A 21,756-nucleotide genomic window follows, 5' to 3' on the forward strand; every position below is an offset into this window, starting at 1 on the left:
AAGTCTTTACCTATAAAAAATTAAATGTAAATGGACTAAATTTCTAACCAAAAGACACAGGATGGGTAAATGAATTTTTAAAAACTCAAGACCCAAATATATGCTGCCTACAAGGACACAAATAGGGTGAAAGTGAAGGGATGAGAAAAGATATTCCATGGAAATGAAAACCAAAAGAGCAGAGATAGCTATATTTATATCAGTTAAAATAGACTTTAAGACAAAACTGCAACAAAAGACAAAGAAAGTCATTATTTAATAACAAATGGATCAAATTATTAAGACAATATAACAACTGTCAGTATACAAGCACTGAACATCAGAGCACCTAAATACATAAAGCAAATATTAACAGATCTAAATGGAAAAGTAGACAGCAATTCAAAAGTAGTATGGGATTTCAGTAAGCCACTTTCAACAATGGATACATCATCCAGACATAAAATCAATAAGGAAACATTCACTCAGAGCAAATGGACATAACACACATAGAACATCAATTCAACAGCAGCAGAATAAATATTCTTTTCAAGCATACATAAAACATTCTCCAGGATAGATCGTATATTAGTCCACAAAACGAGTCTTAGCAAATTTAAGAAAATTAAAGTTATATCAAGTACCTTTTCTAACCATAGTGGTAAGAAACTAGAAAGTTATAACAGAGAAAAACTGGAAATTTCAAAAATACAAGGAAATTAAACCACACACTCTTAAATAACCTATGCCTCAAAAAAAGAAACCTAAAGAGAAACCAAAAAAGAACTTGAAACAAATAAAAATAGAAACACAACATGTCAAAACATATGAGATGCATCAAAAACAGCTCCAGTAGAGAAATTTACAGTAAGAAGAAAAATCTTATACACTATATACCTCATGGAACTAGTAAAAGAAGAATAAACTCAAAACTAGTAGCAAGATGAAAATATCAAAGATCAGAGTAGAAATAAATGAAACAGATACTAGAGAGTAATAGAAAAGATCAACAGAACTAATAGTTGACTTTTTGAAATGATAAAATCAACAAACTTTTAGCTAGAATAAGAAGAGTAGACTCAAATATATGTAATGATAAATGAGGAGACATTATAATGAATGTCACAGAATACATAAGAGACAGAAATATAAGAAATATACGAGACAGAATTATAACAGACTACTATAAAGAATAACACGACAACAAATTACATAACCTAGAAGAAATGGACAAATTCTTAGAAATATACAACCTACCCAGACAGAATCATAAAGAAATAGAAAATCTGAGCAGACCAATTATAAGTAAGGACATTGAAGCACAATTTTAAAAAATTGGACAACACAGAAAAGTCGTGGACCAAATAGCTTCACTGACGAATTTACCAAATATTTAAAAAGGAATACAAATTCTTCTCAAATCCTCCTCAAAAAATTAAGAAAACACTTCCAAACTCATTTTACAAGGTTAGCATTATTCTGATACCAATTCCAGACAAGGACACTCCAGGAAAAAAATTACAGACCAATATGTCTGATGAATATTGATGCACAAAACCACAACAAAATACTAGCCAACTAAATTCAACAGTACATTAAAAGGATTATATTATACATCATGATCAAGTATAATTTTTCCCTGAGATGCAACAATGGCTCAAAATATGTAAACTGATAAATGTGATAACACCAAAAAAAATGAAGAATAAAAATTTTTAAATTATCTCAATGTATAGAGAAAAGGCATTTGACAAAATTCAACATCCTTTTATGATAAAAACTCTCAACAAATTAGGTAGAGATGGAATGTGCCTCAACTTAATGTCCACAACTAATATCATACTCAATGGTAAAAGTTTAAAGCTTTTACTCTAAGACCAGGAATAAGACAAAGATGTTCACTTACCATTTCAATTCAGTATGGTACTGGAGGTCCTGGCCTGAGCAACTATACAAGAAAAAGAAATGAAGAGCATTCACATAAGATGGGCTTGAAAACCTGCCCCAGGCTACCTGCCTCCCACCTGCAGAAAAAAAAAGGGCTTGGTTCTTCCCCCACCTGTGGAGTCTGCACACTGGATTTGTGCCCTCCCCCACGTTCTGGCCAGGAGGTTTCTCAACCCATTCAAATTGTTACAGAGCTCACCTAGAGATTTTCTTCTCCCTGTGTAGTTTTACCCCTGCTCCTCTCCCATTGGATCTTTGTGGTGTCAGGCAGGAAAGGCCTGCTAGGGGACCCAGCAAGCTCCCAGGGCCTTTCTACTGCTTTCTCTACCCCTGTATTTCACTGGGCTGTCCAAATTGACTCAGCTCCAGGTAAAGTCAGAAACATCTCCCCCAAACAGACCTTCTCCAAACAGAGCTTCTCCAGTGGGGGTATGTGTTCAGAAGAGGAGGGTCTCCCTTTCCCATTTCTGCAGTTAGGGCCCTCACAGTTTTTTTGGCGGCGGGGGGGGGGGGTCTCCCAGGTCCTGCAGGGACAGTCTGCTGCCTTCAGAGGGTCTGTGGGTCCTCTTGGGATTGCTGGTTTGTTCTTGCAGTCAATCTGGAGCTAAAATTCATAATGTGAGCCCCTGCCCACTGCTCTGTCCGGAGCTGTGATCTAGTCCTGCCTGCCATCCACTGTGAGACCTGGGAATCTCACTGCCATCTCCCACAGCAGCCACAGCAAGACCTGCCCAAGGAGAGTCTGAGCTCAGACACACCCTAGCCCTGCCCTCACCTGATGGTAGTGGAAGACAAAGGACATATAATATATATGTCATATAATAGACACACCTCGCCCTTCCCTACCCACCCTGGTAGTGGAAGACAAAGGACATATAATCTTGGGTGTTCTAGGACCCCACCTTCCACCGGTCCCTCTCCACACTACCATAGCTGATGCTCTCTGGAAAGTGCCACTTCCTGGCAGGAGGCCAACCAGCACAAAAGTAGAGCATTAAACCACCAAAGCTAACGACCCGCACGGGTCCATTGCACCCTGCCTGCCACCAGAACAGACACTGGTATCCATAGCTGAGAGACTCATAGATGGCTCACATCATAGGACTCTGTGCAGACAACCCCCAGTACTAGCCCAAAGTTGGGTAGACTCGCTGGGTAGCTATACGCAGCAGAGCGACAACAATCACTGCAGTTCAGCTCACAGGAAGCCACATCCATAGGAAAAGGGGAAGAGTACTACATCCAGGGAACACCCCATGGGACAAAAGAATATGGGCAACAGCATTCAGTCCTAGACCTTCCCTCTGACAGAGACTACCCAAATGAAAAGAAACCAGAAAACCAACCCTGGTAATATGACCAAACAAGGCTCTTCGATACCCCAAAAAATTACATTAGTTCACCAGCAATGGATCCAAACCAAGAAGAAATCCCTGATTTACCTGAAAAAGAATTAAGGAAGTTAGTTATTAAGCTAATCGGGGAGGGATCAGAGAAAGGTGAAGCCCAGTTCAAGGAAATCCAAAATATGATATAAGAAGTAAAGGGAGAAATATTCAAGGAAACAGATAGCTTAAAGAAAAAACAATAAAAAAGTCAGGAACCTTTGGACACACTTTTAGAAATGCGAAATGCTCTGGAAAGTCTCAGCAATAAAATTGAACAGGTAGAAGAAAGAAATTCAGAGCTCAAAGACAAGGTCTTCAAATTAACCCAATCCAACAAAGACAAAGAAAAAAGAATAAGAAAATATGAACAAAGCCTCCAAGAAGTCTGAGATTATGTTAAACAACCAAACGTAAGAATAACCTGTGTTCTGAGGAAGAAGAATTCTAAAAGCTTGGAAAAACAAATTTGGGGGAATAATTGAGGAAAACTTCCCTGACCTTGCTAGAGACCTAGACATCCAAATACAAGAAGCTCAAAGAACACCCAGGAAATTCATCACAAAAAAGATCTTCGCCTAAGCACATTGTCATCAGGTTATCCAAAGTTAAGACAAAAGAAAGAATCTTAAGAGCTGTGAGACAGAAGCACCAGGTAACCTATAAAGGAAAACCTATCAGATTAACAGTAGATTTCTCAGCAGAAACCCTACAAGCTAGAAGGGATTTGGGCCCTATCTTCAGCCTCCTCAAACGAAACAATTATCAGCCAAGAATTTTGTATCTAGTGAAACTAAACATCATATATGAAGGAAAGATAGAGTCTTCTTCAGACAAACAAATGCTGAGAGAATTCTCCATTACCAAGCCACCCCTACAAGAACTGCTGAAAGGAGCTCTAAATCTTGAAACAAATCCTGGAAACACATCAAAACAGAACCTCTTTAAAGCATAAATCATGCAGGACCCGTAAAACAAAAATAGAAGTTAAAAAGCAAAAAACAAAAAACGAAAAAACAAAAGTACCCAGGCAACAAATACCGTGATGAATGCAAGGGTACGTCACATTTCAATACTAACATTGAATGTAAATAGCCTAAATGCTCCACTTAAAAGATACAGAACCATAGAATGGATAAGAACTCAACAACCGACTATCTGCTGCCTTCAGGAGACTCACCTAACACATAAGTGAGAGGAGATTTCAACTGGGCTTCCCAGGTCGAGGAGGGCTCAGAAAGCTGTGAAACTCACTCATTTCCTGCAACAGGACTTACTTTGGTCCTGGATGAATAATATTAAAGACATATGCTTAAAATATTCCTAATATCGGAATTTGTGCATGTGTTTTCTTCCCCAAGAAAGCTATAAACAGCGAAACTTTTGCTGTAAGCTTCCCTGTGTCCTCACTCCCTCTCTCCCTTCCCCTTCCCCTGAAACTAAAAGGAATGTTAAAAGCCCATTTTTCTGTGACCAGCAGACCTTATCTATGCTCCCAATTCCAATTCCTTGTAAACACAATTTGTAAAATCCTGTGAGATCCTGTCTCCTTTGCCATGCCACCATAAGGTTATAAAGTGGATAAAAAGTTACAATTCCGGTTTTCCTCAAGATCTAAGACATGTTAATTGTCTTTGTTTCTCATTCTGGTAACATCTTCCCACCTTCCTGCCCCATGTATTTCCCGCCTTAAAGAGTTTAAAAGGTGATCAAAAAATCTAACACTGGCTACCCACTCGGGACACCTTCCACACTGTGGAAGCTTTGTACTGTCACTCTGCTCAATAAAGCCTACAGTTTTTTTTTCTCTTGGTCCGATCCGTGTCTCTCTCTCACCACAGGCTGCCACCACACCAAATCTTTGGCGTGGCTAAGGCAAGAACCTTTGGCGTTACATAAGGACTCACATAAACTTAAAGTAAAGAAGTAGAAAAAGGCATTTCATGCAAATGGAAACCAAAAGCGAGCAGGGGTAGCGATTCTTACATCAGACAAAACAAACTTTAAAGCAACAGCAGTTAAAGAGACAAAGAGGGACATTATATAATGGTAAAAGACCTTGTCAAACAGGAAAATATCACAATCCTAAATATATATGCACCTAACACTGGAGCTACCAAATTTATAAAACAATTACTAATAGACCTAAGAAATGAAATAGAAAGCAACACAATAATAGTGGGGGACTTCAATATTCCACTGACAGAACTAGACAGGTCATCAAGACAGAAAGTCAACAAAGACACAATGGATTTAAACTATACCTTGGAACAAATGGACTTAACAAATATATTCAGAACATTTCATCCCACAACCACAGAATACACATTCTATTCAACAGTGCATGGAACTTTCTCTAAGAGAGACCAGATGATAAGCCATAAAATGAGCCTGAATAAATTAAAGAAAATTGAAATTATATCAGGCACTCTCTCAGACCACAGTGGAATAAAACTAAATCAACTGCAAAACGAACCTTCAAAATCATGCAAATACAGGGAAATTAACCTGCTCCTGAATGATCATTGGGTCAAAAAAGAAATCAAGATGGAAATCAAAAAATTCTTTCAAATGAATGACAATAATGATACAACCTATCAAAACCTCTGAGATACAGCAGAGGCAGTGCTAAGGGGAAAGTTCATAGCCCTAAACACCTACATCAAAAAGACTGAAAGAGCACTAACTGACACTCTATAGTCACACCTCAAGGAACTACAGAAACAGGAAGAATACAAACCCAAACCCAGCAGAAGAAAGGAAATAACCAAGATCAGAAGAGAACTATATGAAATTCAAACAAAAAAAAATACAAAAGATAAATGAAACAAAAAGCTGGTTCTTTGAAACGATAAATAAAATTGATAGACCACTGGCAAGATTAGCCAAGAAAAGAAGAAAGAAAATCCAAATAACCTCACTAAGAAATGAAACAGGAGATATTACAACTGACACCAATGAAATATAAAAGATCATTCAAGCCTAATAAGAACAGCTTTATGAATATAAACTAGAAAACCTAGAAGAGATGGATACATTCCTGGAAAAATACAACCCTCCTAGCTTAAATCAGGAAGAATTAGATACCATGAACAGACCAATAACAAGCAGCAAGATTGAAATGGTAATTTAAAAATTACCAACAAAAAAAGTCCAGGACCAGGCAAATTCACAGCAGCATTCTATCAGACATTCAAAGAAGAATTGGTACCAATCCTTTTGACACTACCCACAAGATAGAGAAAGAAGGAACCCTCCCTAATTCATTCTATGAAGCCAGCATCACCCTAATACCAAAACCAGGAAAGGACATAACCAAAAAAGAAAACTACAGACTGATAACCTTGATGAACACAGACGCTAAAATCCTTAACAAAACACTAGTTAACCAAATCCAACAACATATCAAAAAGACAGTTCACCCTGATCAAATGGATTTCATACCAGGAATGCAGGGATAGTTTAACATACACAAGTCAATAAATGTGATACACCACATAAACAGAATTAAAGAAAAAATCACCTGATCATCTCAATAGATGTAGAAAAAGCATTGGACAAAATCCAGCATCACTTTATGATTAAAACTCTCAGCAAAATTGGCATACAAGGGACATACTTTAATATAATAAAAGCCATCTATGAGAAACCCACAGCCAACACAAATGGGGAAAAGTTGAAAGCATTCCCTCTGAGAACTGGAACAAGACAAGGATGTCCAATCTCAACATTCCTCTTCAACATAGTACTGGAAGTCCTACCCAGAGCAATCAGACAAGAGAAATAAAGGGCATCCAAATCAGTAAAAAGGAAGTCAAAGTGTCACTGTTTGCTGAAGATATGATCGTTTACCTTGAAAATCCTAAGGACTCCTCCAGAAAGCTTCTAGAACTGATAAAATAATTCAACAAAGTTTCCGGATACAAGATTCATGTACACAAATTATTAGCTCTTCTATACACCAAAAGCAACCAAACAGAGAATCAAATAAAAAGCTCAACTCAACCCAACCCCTTTTACAATAGCTGTAAAAAAAAAGAAATACATAGGAATCTACCTAACCAAGGAGTCAAAAGACCTCTATAAGGAAAACTACAAAACACTGCTGAAAGAAATCACAGATGACACAAATAAATGGGAACACATCTCATGCTCATGGATGTGTGGAATCAATATTGTGAAAATGACCACACTGGCAAAAGCAATCTACGAATTCAAGGCAATCCCCATCAAAGTACCACCATCATTCTTCACAGAATTAGAAAAAAAAATGCTAAAATTCATATGGAACCAAAAAAGAGCCCACAGAGCCAAAGCAAAACTAAGCAAAAAGAACAAATCTGCAAGTATCACACTGCCTGATTTCAAACCGTACTACAAGGCCATAGTCATCAAAACAGCATGGTACTGGTACAAAAATAGGCACATGGACAAACGGAACAGAATAGAGAACCCAGAAATAAACCCAAATACTTAGAGCCAACTGATCTTTGACAAAGCAAACAAATACTTAAAGTGGGAAAAGGACACCCTTTCCAACAAATGGTGCTGGGATATTTGGCTAGCCACATGTAGGAGAATGAAACTGGATCCTCAACTCTCACCTTATACAAAAATCAACTCAAGATAGACTAAAGACTTAAACCTAAGACCTGAAACTATAAAAAATGTAGAAGATAACATTGGAAAAATCCTAGATATTGGCTTAGGCAAGGATTTCATGACCAAGAACCCAAAAGCAAATGCAATAAAAACAAAAATAAATAGCTGGGACCTAATTAAACTAAAGAGCTTCTGCATGGCAAAAGGAACAGTCAGCAGAGTAAACAGACAACCCACAGAGTGAGACAGAGTGAGACAAAATCTTCACAATCTATACACCTGACAAAGGACTAATATCCAGAATCTATAATGAACTCAAACAAATCGGTAAGAAAAAAAATCAAACAATCCCATCAAAAAGTGGGCTAAAAACATGAATAGACAATTCTCAAAAGAAGATATACAAACGGCCAACAAACATATGAAAAAATGCTCAACATCACTAATGATCAGGGAAATGCAAATCAAAATCACAATGTGATACCACCTCACTCCTGCAAGAATGGCCATAATCAAAAAATCAAAAACACAGTAGATTTTTTTTTGTTCACCATGTGGTGAAGAGGGAACACTTCTACACTGCTGGTGGGAATGTAAACTAGTACAGCCACTATGAAAAACAGTGTGGAGATTCCTTAAAGAACTCAAAGTAGAGCTACCATTTGATCCAGCAATCTCACTACTGGGTATCTACCCAGAGGAAAATAAGTAATTATTCAAAAAAAAAATACTTGCACATGCATGTTTATGGCAATGCAATTCACAAATGCAAAATCGTGGAACCAACCAAAATGCCCATCAATCAACGAGTGGATAAAGAAACTGTGAGAGATATATATATATATACATGATGGAATATTATGCAGCCATAAGAAGGAATGAATTAACAGCATTTGCAGTGGCCTGGATGACATTGGAGACTATTGTTCTAAGTGAAGTAACTCAGGAATGGAAAACCAAACATCGTATGTTCTTGCTGATATGTGGGAGCTAAGTTATGAGGATGCAAAGGCATAAGAATGATGCAATGGACTTTTAGGACTTGGGGGGAAGAGTAGGAGTGGAGTAAGAGAGAGAAGACTACAAATATGGTGCAGTGTTTACTGCTCAGGTGATGGGTGCACCAAAATCTCACAAATCACCACTGAAGAACTTACTCATGTAACCAAATACCACCTGTACCCCCAATAACTTATGGAAAAATTAATTTTAAAAATCAGATGGGAAGCAGTAAAATTTTCTCTAAGGATGACACGATCTTATATATTGAAAACCCTACGTGGCCTACCAAAAACTCAGAATTATTAAACAAATTCAGTAAAGTTGCAGGATGAAAAATTAACATGCAAATCAATTGTTTTCTATGCACTAACTATGAACTATCCATAAAAACAAACTAAGACAACAATGCCATTTACATTGGCATCAGAAAGAAAAAAAATTTAGAAATAAATGTAACCAAGAAGTTGAATGACCTATACACTGAAAACTATAAAACATTAGTGAAAGAAATTGAAGACAAATAAATGGAAAGATATCCTATATTCATCGATTGGTAAAATTAATGTTAAAATGTTTATACTACCCAAAGCAATCTGCAGATTCAATGCAATCACTACTAAAATTTCAAAGGTATTTTTCATAGAAATAGTAAAAAATCCTAAAATTTGTATTGAACCCCAAAAGACCATGAAAAGCTAAAATGATTTTGAGAAAGAATAATTAAGATGAAAGCATCACACTTTCTTATTTCAAATTCTATTACAAAGCTGATATATATTACAAATATTACATATATACACATAGATTACAATATATGATACTGGCCTAATAACAGACACGTAGACCAAAGGAACAAAATAGAGATCCCAGAAATAAATCCATATATATACAGTCAATTAATCTTCAGTGTAAGTACCAAGAGGACACAATAGGAAACGGATAGTCTCTTCAAAAATGGTACTGGAAAAACTGAATATGCACATGCAAAAGAATGAAATGGGACCCTTATTTTACATCATACACAAAATAAACTAAAATTGATTAAAATCTTAGACATATAACCTAAAGCCACAAAACTCCTAGAAGAAGACATAGGGGAATGTTTCTTGACAATATTCTTGGTAATAATTTTTTGGGTATGACACCAAAAGCATGGGCAATACAAGCAAAAATAAACAAGTAGAACTACACCAAATTAAAAAGTTTTTGCACAGCACAGGAGAGAAATATCAATATAGAAAGGTAAACTATGGAATAAGAAAAAATATTTGCAAACCGTATGTCTGATAAGGGGTTAAATCCAAAATATATAAGGAATTCAAACAACTCAATAGCAGAAAACAAAACAAAAAAAACCACTCAATTTTTTAAAAATGAGCAAAGGACCTGAATAGACATTTTTCCAAAGAATACATACAAATGGACTATGGGTATAAGAAAACTGCTCAACATCACAAATCATCAGGGAAATGCAAATGAAAACCATAAGATATTACCTCATATATGTTATAAAAGCTACTATCAAAGTCAAAAGATACCAAAAGTTGGCAAGGATGTGGAGAAAGGGGAGCCCTTATGCATTATTGATGGGAATGCAAATTGGTAGAGTCATGGAAAATGGTTTCCCAAAAAAATTAAAACTAGAACTACAATGTGATCCAGCAACCCCACTTCTGAGTATATATCCAAAGGAAATGAAATCCGTATCTCAAAGAGGTGTCTGCTCTCTCATGTTTATTGCAGCATTATTTGTAAAGCGAAAATATGGATACAACCTGTGTGTGTCCATCACGGAATGAATAATACAGAAAATGTGATATGTGTATGTATGATATGTGATGTATATGTAATGATATAATAATATTCTACTTTTCAGCCTTGAAAAGAAGAAAATCATAGATTTGCAACAATATGGATACCTGGAAGACATTATACTAAGCAATATAAGCCAGAATTGAAAACAAATATTGTATGACATCACTTATATGTGAACTATTAAAAAGTCAAACTCACAGAAATAGAGAGTACAATGCTGGTTATCAGGAACTGGAGGGTGGGAGAAATGGAAAGATGTTGGTCACAGGGTAAAAAATTTCAGTTATAAGATGAATTAATCCTGGAAATCTAATATACAGCATGGTAAATATAGCTAAGAATAAAGTACTGCTTACTTGAAATTTGCTAAGAAATTATATGTTCAGTATCCACATCAATTAAAAAAGGTAACCATGTTAATTGATGGATAAATTAATTAGCTTCATTTTGCTAATTATTTCACAATGTATAGTTATACCAAATCATGGTGTACTCCTTAAATGTATAAAATTTTCATTTGTCAATTATACCTCAATAAAGCTGGATAAACAAATGCACATTTAAATAAAAATAATTATTTTGAATAAAATGCCATGTATGCTTTAATGAAAGTTAACATAGTATGTGTTCCTGACATAAATTATAATTCTCCAACTCTCCAGTTAATCCCCTATGAAGGGGTTTGACATGTTTGCCATGTTAGTGGCTATGCTTGAAAGCAGAGAGTATACATCCTTACCTCATTTTCAGGCTAATCTAGGCAATTTCTTTGGGGTGGAAAGTGGGCAGGCATGATGTATGCCACATTGAAACAGAAGCTTTAAATGGAATTGTATCGTTTTTTGGTCTCTTGCCTTCCTGTTTCACTAGGCAATGAGAACAGCATAGTCTGTATAGTTCAGATAGAGATTACTCTGTCATCCTGGGTTCAAGATTGAAAAGACACAAAAAATAAAGACAAGCAGGGTCACATAGAGATGTATGCAATCTGCAGACCAGTGAACAAAAAAATAAACATTTTCCATTTAAAGCCACTGAAATTTAAGAGTTATATGTTATATGTTACTACAACAAAACAGAAAGAGAGAACATAATTTCTTATGTAAACTCCATTAATATGAACTGCAGAATATTCTGATTTTCTGTGAATTAACATGAAGTTAATTCACATTTAGACATCAGGTAGCAAGCCTTCAATACTTTTTGTAACATAACATTTATTCTTCATTTTAAATAATTTAGGAAAGTTACTGATGCTTCTAATAAAATTTGTAAAATTTCAGATTCTATTACTCAAGGTATCTCACTATTTGTGTTTTCCTCTAACTTTTCATTTTTTTTTTCTGTTCTGAGTGTCCTTTGAAGTACCACTCTGATTCCTGTTGAGAGATTTTATTAATTAAGCCTATATTAAAAATGTCTTTCTGCCAATCTCTGTGGAAGTCATTTGAGCCAAAGATGTTCTCTTTAACACTATTAAATAATGTCCCCCATCCCCACATGCAGAGACTGTGAAAATCAGGAATATATTGCTCAATTATTTCGCTCATTTGATTTTGTAGTCTATGTATACAGTTCTGGTTGATGAGTTCTTAGAATTCTATCAACGTTCTTGGCATTTTTGGCAACCATTTGCCCATGACATTGAATGTCCAAAGGTTTGAATAATTTCAACACCTGTAAAAGGGTTGTTATTGCTATTGTAGCCTTATACTTGCTTTCCAAATCAAATGGCTCCACATTTAATTATCACCAGACAGAAATGAAATGCTTTAAAGAATGCAGTTGGCTCAAAATGACTTCTTACAGTTACCATCTGTCTTATTGAAAGACTATACATCACTTTATATATCCAAAATGCAACATTCTCATTAATATATGTACATTGTCTTTTTATTCTGTTAAATGATACCAATTTGTAGCAAACCCAGAACAATAACTACACATACTCAAAGCCTAATGACAGTTCCTTTCTCCTATACAATTTCTTAAAAATTCAGCATGTGACCTTACAGTTCAAATATATCACTGAAAAGATGCCTTTTGGCATCCCTAGTGTATATTAATCAGCAACTTCAGAACACCCATAAACATGGTAATATTTAGGCAAGCTACAAAACAGCGAAACAAACTTCCTTTTAGGCTAGAAACTTTGTTAGTTGGTTGCTTTACAATTTTCCATGAAATATGTTTTAAAAATCATGTACAATATGTATTCCTTACTTCAGTACATACTAGTACAGAAAAATTGACTTTCCTGAGGACTAGTGAATAAGCATAGTGCAACAAGCATAGATTATGCTTTTGTCTTATAACATGACTCTTGAAAGCATGCCTAACAAACTCCTTGTTAATATTGTTTACTCTTAGAAATAATGTATTCTACTTCTTCCTTCTTAATAGTTCTAGACATGTATATAACTTTTTCCCTAGTCACTATGTCACTTAACGTTCCCAAGTGCCAAATTTTGAGTAAGACAGCTGCATACTTCAACTTCTAACTAGGAAACAAGGAGGGAGACATATTCAATATGTCAAGTGGAAATACCGTTGTCCTCATTTTTTAATAATTGCTATCCCTCTGATTTAGATGCCTGTGTTCTCATTCCAGGCAGTGAGATGTGTTGCTCTAGTGCTTTATAGTTCTCGATGCAGAGGCTCCTACACTTCAGAGCCATATCCAGACCAAAACCTAGTCTAGCTGAATTGATAGGAACTACACAACCAAATATCAGATCCATGTTAGTGAAAGCGTTCAAAAGCATATGAATCAGATAAATCTTCTGTATTACCTAGCTTTCATCTTGTCTTTTATTTCTTGGCACTCCTTTGAAGCAGAGAATATTTAGGAACCTTTTCAAAAAGATCAGATGCTTTAACGAATAAGAATTTTATCTATGCTGTCTCAGCAATTTTTAAGAAAAGAAAAACAATGAGGTTTTAGCAATGAAAGATGTTTATTTAGCAGAAAGGCTATTTGACAAACCATGTAGTCAATGAACCTAATTCTGAAGCACTGAGTTTGTGTACTGGAGCCTCAAGTATCTGGCAGAGTGGTTTCCTTTTTAAAATTCATGACATCATTCTCGGTGCTTCAAGTTTGGCTCAACATGAGAAATCTCCTTCTGTGGATGAATTAATTGGATTATTGGCTCTATGGGAAAAAGAATCCCTCCAAATCTCTTTAGGAAGAAATTAGTATCTTGAACTAGGTTTTCCATTCCCTAAGGGGGAACAACATCTCTTGATAAATATAACAAATTGCTTCCCCAAATTTGTTAAAACTAGTTCAATATTCTGCTTTAATTGTTTTGTCAAGTGCTAGTATGGAAAGAATTTTCATTGGCATGGATAATCTATGAACAAAGGAACACAAAAGAATGAGTGTTGAGCCAGTAAATAAGTTCATGTTTTAAATATAATTGTATTTATTTGGGAAAAAAGATTTTTGAAAGATAGAAAAAACATTATGAGAGCCTTATACTCTTATTAAAATATAAGACATAGTATACAGTGTTGTCCTGTTGGAAAACGTTCCATATTTCTTGACTATCAACAATTAAAATATTTTATCATATATTATAAAGCACTTTGTTGTTGTTCTGTGAACTTGAACTACATATATCTCTATCCACAAGGCAGAGTTTAGCAATGTCACCTCTATAAGTACAGCTTAATTTATATTTTCTGTCTTTTCACCAGCCTTGCCACAAATTTGTCCCAATGTTGGGGGGTGGGTGGAGTTTGCAATCTGTGCTCACTATATATCAAACCTATAATAAGCCATCATATTTTTTATTACAAAGAAAAATGTACTTTCCTATATATTTCAGAGAAAGTACAATTTTTAATATAAAAAGCACATACTTCACTTCAAAATGTTGAATGAGGATGTACTTAAAGAATTCCAGCTGGTTAAATTTAGAAAGCTAAACAAAGTCCAATCTAAGAATATTCTTTGGCTTTATGCCTACAGCATTTTTATTTGATTGTAAATTGGACATATTTTCATTCACTTCAGAATTTTGCCTTTCAGTGGTTTGTTCTCTTAAGAGATTCAACAGGTTCTGATTCACATGTAGGCACCAGTATTAACCCCCTACTTTCTGAGGACAGTTGTATCATTTAGAGTCAGTGATGGACCATCGCCCCTTCACTTTCTATCTACAACATTTTCTATGAGTAACTGTGACTAGAAAGGTTAACCTTTCTTTCTTATGCACCAATCTTATTGAGGTAAAATTTACACACAGAAAAAGTCAACCCTTCAGTGAATTTTTACAACTGTAACTATCATCAAAATATAGAACATTTCCATCATCCCAAAAAGGTCTATTATACCACTCATAGTCAAAACACCCAATATTTCTCATCCCAAACAATGACTGATCTGCTCTGTGTAAATCTATATGTACATAGTATGTACTCTGTTGTGTATGATTTCTGTTACTTAGTATAATGTCTGTGGACCTGGCATGATGGCTCACTTCTGTAATCCCAGCACTTTGGAAGGCCAACGTGGGTGGATCACCTGAGGTCAGGAGTTCGAGGCCAGCCTGGCCAATATGGTGAAGCTCCGTGTCTACTAAAAATACAAAAAAAAAAAAAAATTAGCCAGGCGTGGTGGCAGGTGCCTGTAATCCTGGCTACTTGGGAGGCTGAGGCAGAATTGCTTGAACCCAGGAGGCAGAGGTTGCAGTGAGCTGAGACCACACAATTGCACTCCAGCCTAGGCAACAAGAAAGAAACTCTGTCTCAAAAAAAATAAATAAATAATATCTGTGAAGTTTATCCACGTTGTTGAGTATACTAGAAGTTCATCCCTGTTCATTGCCACATATCAGTACATTGTTTGAATATATCACAATTTGTTTACCTATTCACCAGCTGACAAACATTTGGATTGTTTCTAGTTTGTGAGTATTGTGAATAAAGCAGTGATGAACGTTCATGTGCTAATGTTTCTGTGAATATACATTTTCATTTCTCTTGGATAAATACATATTTTGTTAAATTTTTCTCTGAGTATTTCATGTCTTGATGTTATCATAAATGATGTTGTTTTTCCAATTGTTCATTGCTAGTATACGGAAATGCAATTGATTTTTATGTGTCTTTGTATCTTGGGATCTTGGTAAATTTACATGTTAGTTCTAGCAGCTTTATAGTTGATTTCTTAAGACTTTCTACATAAAGAATTATATCATCTGTGAATAGGAACTGTTTATTTCTTCCTTTCCTATCTATATGCCTTTTATTTCTTTTTTATTCCATTATTTTACTGCCTAAGACTTCCACTGCAATTTTAATAAAATCGTAAGAATAAACATCCTTGACTTATTCTCATTGTTAGAGGATTAGTATTTAATGTTTCATCATTAGGTATGATGTATCTGGAGATTTTGCGTGGAGATTTGATTGATTGAGGAGGTTTTCTTTTATATCCTGGTTTGCTAAGTGTTTAATTTTTGTCAAATGCTTTTCTACACGTATTAAGATTCTATTTTTTAATGTTTATAATCTGGTCACTTAAATTTATCATTGTACATTACATCATATAAAAATATTGATGAAAAATATTACTTAGTCATGATGTTTCATTGTTTTTATAGATTACTGAATTTACCTTGGTGATACTATGTTAAGGATTTTTGCATCTTTGTGATATCTGGGACGACAACAACCTTCTTACAACATGAGGAAATGTACAAGAGATTTTTGAGAGATATGAACTCTGACTCATTAAGCTTCTAAACCAATACCAACAACTGTCTACCTCCAGACTATTTTGTAGGGTAGAAAACAAACCCTGGTTTATATAGTCCAGAACAGTTGGGATTCCCATTACTTGAAGCCAAAAGCAACTCTAACTGATGCAAATGCCACTTGGGGAATGCTGGATTTTAGAACTACTCAAGAATACACGGAAGTCCCACTTTACTGTGGTGTTTTTTTTTTAAGGACAAACAATAATCATAGTAATAATAAGAGTCTACATTAATTGTTGTATTTAATTTCATAAAGAACTGACTTTACAAAATAGGCACTACTGTGCTTATTTTACAGATAGTGAAACAGAAACTCAGTTTGGCACAAGGTCTTCCACTTTCTAAACCTATTTTATCCAACTAGAAAGTTCATGCTCTTCACTATGGCCTCCCCAGTAGTGCAATAATGTGGTAGGAGACCAACAGGACTTGTTTTCCGGTCACAATACTGCTGACCAAAACAAGATCCAGTCCAGAAGGGATGAAGTGAAAAAATGGGAAGGAACCAGTAGATGGCAAAGAAAGCTATCCCTAGCTGCCCTCATTGCTCATTAGCATAAGATACTCCTACCAATGCCATGACAATTTACAAAAGCCTTGGCGATGATCCAGAAGTTACCACCTCTTTCCATGGCAATGATCTAAAAATTACTGCCTCTTTTCTAGAAATTTCTAAATACCCTGCCCCTGTCAATTTGCATTGACTTATCCCTTAATTTGCATAAAATTGAAAGTGAGTTTGCCTGAGTATAAACAGAGTTGCCAAAAGCTCATACCTTATTGACTCTAGGCGCACTGCCTATGAGTTAGCCCTGCTTTGGAAGAAGCAGTACAGTTCAGTTAAAGATTGCTAACAACACTAGATTATCGTTGAGTACTTTCCTGTATGAAGCCCCAGTCTGGGGACTCAGCTGTCCTGTAATATCAGTAAAAGATCTTTCTTGAAATTTTTTCTAAATAACTGGGAATTCACATTCAGGGGTCTCCACAGTCTACATCTTTGGACTTGGTACTTTGGAAAGGCATGCAAATTTGACCAATGGAGGACCTGCTCCATTGAAGAGTGAGGCCATAAGAACCCAGTCTGGCAATTCAAAGAGGAGTATTTACTAATGGTTAAGGAAGTAAGGTCAAGATTTTGTTGATTTTATGCCTCATGTACAAATATATGGGAAGTAGATGCTATTGAAAACTGGATGATAAAAATTATGTAACAATATCCTGAGATGTCTGGAAGGGAATTACTAAGAAATAGTAAATAATAATTCTTTTTTTTTTTTTTTTTTTTTTTTTTTTTGAGACGGAGTCTCGCTCTGTCGCCCAGGCTGGAGTGCAGTGGCGCGACCTCGGCTCACTGCAAGCTCCGCCTCCCGGGTTCACGCCATTCTCCTGCCTCAGCCTCCCGAGTAGCCGGGACCACAGGCGCCCGCCACCACGCCCGGCTAATTTTTTGTATTTTTAGTAGAGGCGGGGTTTCACCGCGTTAGCCAGGATGGTCTCGATCTCCTGACCTCATGATCCGCCCGCCTCTGCCTCCCAAAGTGCTGGGATTACAGGCGTGAGCCACCGCGCCCGGCCGAGAAATAGTAAATAATAATTCTTAAGCTACTTTCCAGTTTCTGAGAATCTTCTTGTTCAGAAACAAGTATACATATAACATCTGTTGGCTTTTTGCTACATGATATTTTCAACAAACCTGTAAAGGACGCTAAATTGTGCTATTAAACTCTGGGAGGAAAAAACAACTCTTGAAAATAACTAGGGCTGTAGTTTTTCAAGGAAGAAGTTCAAGTTGAAATTCTCAGGCTTAGTATAATTATATAAATATCAATACCAGAAAGAAAAATGAATTCACTAAGAGTTCAAAGGACCAAACCAAGTTTGACTGAAAGATTAGAGATAAGACAGAAAATGACACATGCATATTTGGAAAGAATGTTTAACAGAAAGAAATAAACCTTCACTTGGGCATAATTTTTTTAAGTCGAAATCACTTACTGGCACTTTTGAAGATGCAGTCACGTAGCAAACCTGTTTCAACTGATAAAACAAAGCCTAATGTCTTCTACACAATCAGAAAGAGAGACAAGTGCTTCTTCCAATTAATTGGTGGAGCCTGTTTCAATACTGATTAGGTCTTCCACACACTGAGCAATGAAGGAAACCAAAGGAGTCCCGGTTACCAAATACTAGAAATTGAAAATGAAGTGAGGCAGGAAATTTAGCGTGGTTGTTTTGTAACTTATAGAACTACAATTCAGTAGCATTTTTAAACATTACTTTGTCTCTAGCCAGCATTCCACCTCTTTAAAATAAAAGCAAAATTCAAGTGTTAGTTTATTTTGTGTAATAACACTTTACATTTTACAAAGTGTTTTCAGAGACATTATCCTACTTGACCTTCCTAACCACCAATGAGGTAGAGTTATGATTACTATCTGACAGATGAAGAAACTAAAGCCAGTGAAGAAAAATAAAATTATGAAATTGCTTGCTCTTCTGCTTATGACAATGTTAAAAAAAAAAAAAACCCTTAGACACATTAAATTTAAAAAGTTTAACTGAGCAAAGAACAATTCCTGAATCAGACAGCCTCCTGAAACAGATCTAGAGAGATTCAAGCATAGCCACAAAGTGGAAGATTTATGGACAGAAAAAGGAATGTGATGTATAGAAAAGGGAAGTGAGGTACAGAAATAGCCAGATTGGTCACAGCTGGGCATTTGCCTTATTTGAACGTGGTTTGAATAACTGGCAGCTTTCGATTGGCCAAAACTCAGTGACTGGCACAAGAGTAGGTTAGTCTATTTAGCCATCCAGTTAGGTTACAGTTCATTATGTACAAAGAATCATTTACGCTGAACTTAAAATATGTAAGGAGGCAGCTTTAGGTTAAACTTGATTTAACAACAATAACCATAAAAACAAGACCACCAGTTATTGGCCATTTGGTATTAATAGATGGCAGGAATTATCTTAAGCACTTTAAATATAATACCTCATCAATCATAAAAAAATTTTGCAAGCTACATATTATTGTCTTCACACTACATGTGAGGGATATTGAGGATGAGACAAGTGAAATAACTTGTCCAAAATCACACGGATGATAAGTTATAGACTCAAAATTTAAGCCCATATCTGTTTGGTTGTAAGCCCTGTGCATTAAAAAGAAAAAAATTGGCTGTACTATACTACTCTTTGCTAAATTAATGACTTTCTTAACCCACTATATTAAAATTGCATATATATGCATTTGCAAATACTTATTTACATACATTATACACATATACTCACATAATTCAAGTAGTGTAGGCATGATTTATATATGTCTTTACTTTTAAAAGGTTCTATTTAATGCCTAGATTGGGTAAAAAGCAAATGAATAAATTTTTTTCACTTTTATCATCTGAGGCCATTTGTCATTCATTACACAAAGTTATGCAAATAAGTTCGAATTGTAAAGACATGCTTAAATTTTACAAGCTCTGAATTTCACACTAGGGAATGAGGATAAACAAATTGTATTATGTTCTGAAAAGTCTACTAAGTAATAAGTAATTTGTTAAAGTAAAAGAAGTCTAAAAAGAGTACAACTTGGTTTTGACCATTGCTACATCACAATTAGTACCAATGTAACCATTCTACCAATTTCAACATTTAAGGAACGCCTATTTCGTACTAAACATTGTGCTACAAAGATGAATAAGACATAACCTTTGTACTTGAAGACCTGAGGATCTAGTATATGAGATATGCAAAAATGGACAAATTCAAGTCAATAAGGTCAGTACAACAATAGAGATGACAAGGTATGCTATGGACTGTATGTGTCTCCCCCACAAATTCATATATTGAAAGCCTAATCCCCAGTGTGATAGTATGTGGAAATGCAGCCTTTAGGAGGTAGTTAGGGTATGAGGATGGAGGTGAGGGCATCTTAGGGCATGAGGATGGAGGTGAGCCTTTAGGAGTTAATTAGGGCATAACGGAGTGAAGTGAGGTTGATGATGGGACTTGTGGCCTTATAAGAACACTAATATGCTTGCTTCCGCTCTCGATCTCTCTCTATCCCCTACATGAGGACATAAGGGGAAGATGGCTAACTGCAAACCAGGAGGAAGGCTCCCATCAGAACCTAACCATGGACTCTGATCTCTGACTTTCCAAACTCCAGAAGGGTAAGAAATAAAATTATGTTGTTCAAACCATCTGTCGTATGGTACTTTTGTTGCAGGAGACTTAACTGACTAAGAGTTCTTCAGGAGCTTAGAGAGAAATCATAAACAAGCAAGTAAAATCAAGAAAGTCCTGTGGGAGATGACGCCTGAAGCAACCATTTAAAGGACAAGTAGAGATGAGCCGGCAAAGAAGGGAACACACAGCATTGTGAAAAGAGGCACAACCCAGAAACTTTCACACCCTTCATCTCATAACACTAAGGTCGTACATGCGTGAAGAGAGAGAACAACCACCACCCTTAGAAGGCCAATTTAGTTTAGAGAAGAAATTCTACTTCCAATGGGCTTATTCTTTAATTTATATTAAACTTAAATTGAGACTGCACTGTTTCTCTATTTACTCTCTGAAATGCTCATGCCCTTAATCAACAGATTATTATTAAAGACTATGTTAATATCCAATTGTTTTCATTAATGACATTTAGGACAGAAAGGTATATTCAGGTTAAAAAAAAGAAAAAAATGCCATACTGAATACCAGAAAATATAAATATTAGACATTCTTTTCAAGCCCCTGAGGCTTTCTTGTGGGCATTTTGATAATAGTAAAAGTTTTACTTCAGGGTGCCATCTTGAATGAGCCAAATTTAGAACCTTAATTCTAATTGAAATTTTAACCTCCCAAAATGATATGCATATGAAAGTGTTGCTTATATCTCCTTAGTAAATTTGCAGATCTAAAATGCATCATTCTCATACAGCCATAGTATCTGTGCTCTTTGCTGTCTTTTTGAAATCTCATGACAATCTCTTTTATTTGAAATAAACATGCTATTTTTTTTTAAAAAAAAATCACTCATATGGTAATATAAGAAGATCGAAGTAATTTGGACTAAACCTAAGAAGTGATTCTCTTCTTCTATCATTTATAATTTCTGTCTTCTGAGTTATTATAGAAAATTTATGGCATGGTCACCCTTAGAATTAAGACTCTGCTTTGACACAGGAAGATACCTCCTGGTAACAGTGACCCTACATTCCTAACTTGGGTCACAGTCTTGATTGCAACTATCCTTC

General features: G+C 35.6%; 1 long non-coding RNA gene across 3 annotated transcripts in view; it reads right to left on the reverse strand.

Annotated features, from left to right (window-relative positions):
• Positions 1-1,808: 1,808 nt before the first annotated feature.
• LOC105375999 (uncharacterized) overlaps positions 1,809-21,756 on the reverse strand; it is a 155,489-nt gene continuing 135,541 nt past the window's right edge. For all 3 annotated transcript variants that reach the window (XR_001746566.2, XR_001746565.1, XR_001746567.1), the window contains exon 4: positions 1,809-1,927. This is a non-coding gene — a long non-coding RNA (uncharacterized LOC105375999). The remainder of the gene's footprint in view (positions 1,928-21,756) is intronic.

This window comes from Homo sapiens, chromosome 9 (assembly GCF_000001405.40).
Source record: "Homo sapiens chromosome 9, GRCh38.p14 Primary Assembly".
Taxonomy (NCBI): Eukaryota; Metazoa; Chordata; class Mammalia; order Primates; family Hominidae; genus Homo; species Homo sapiens.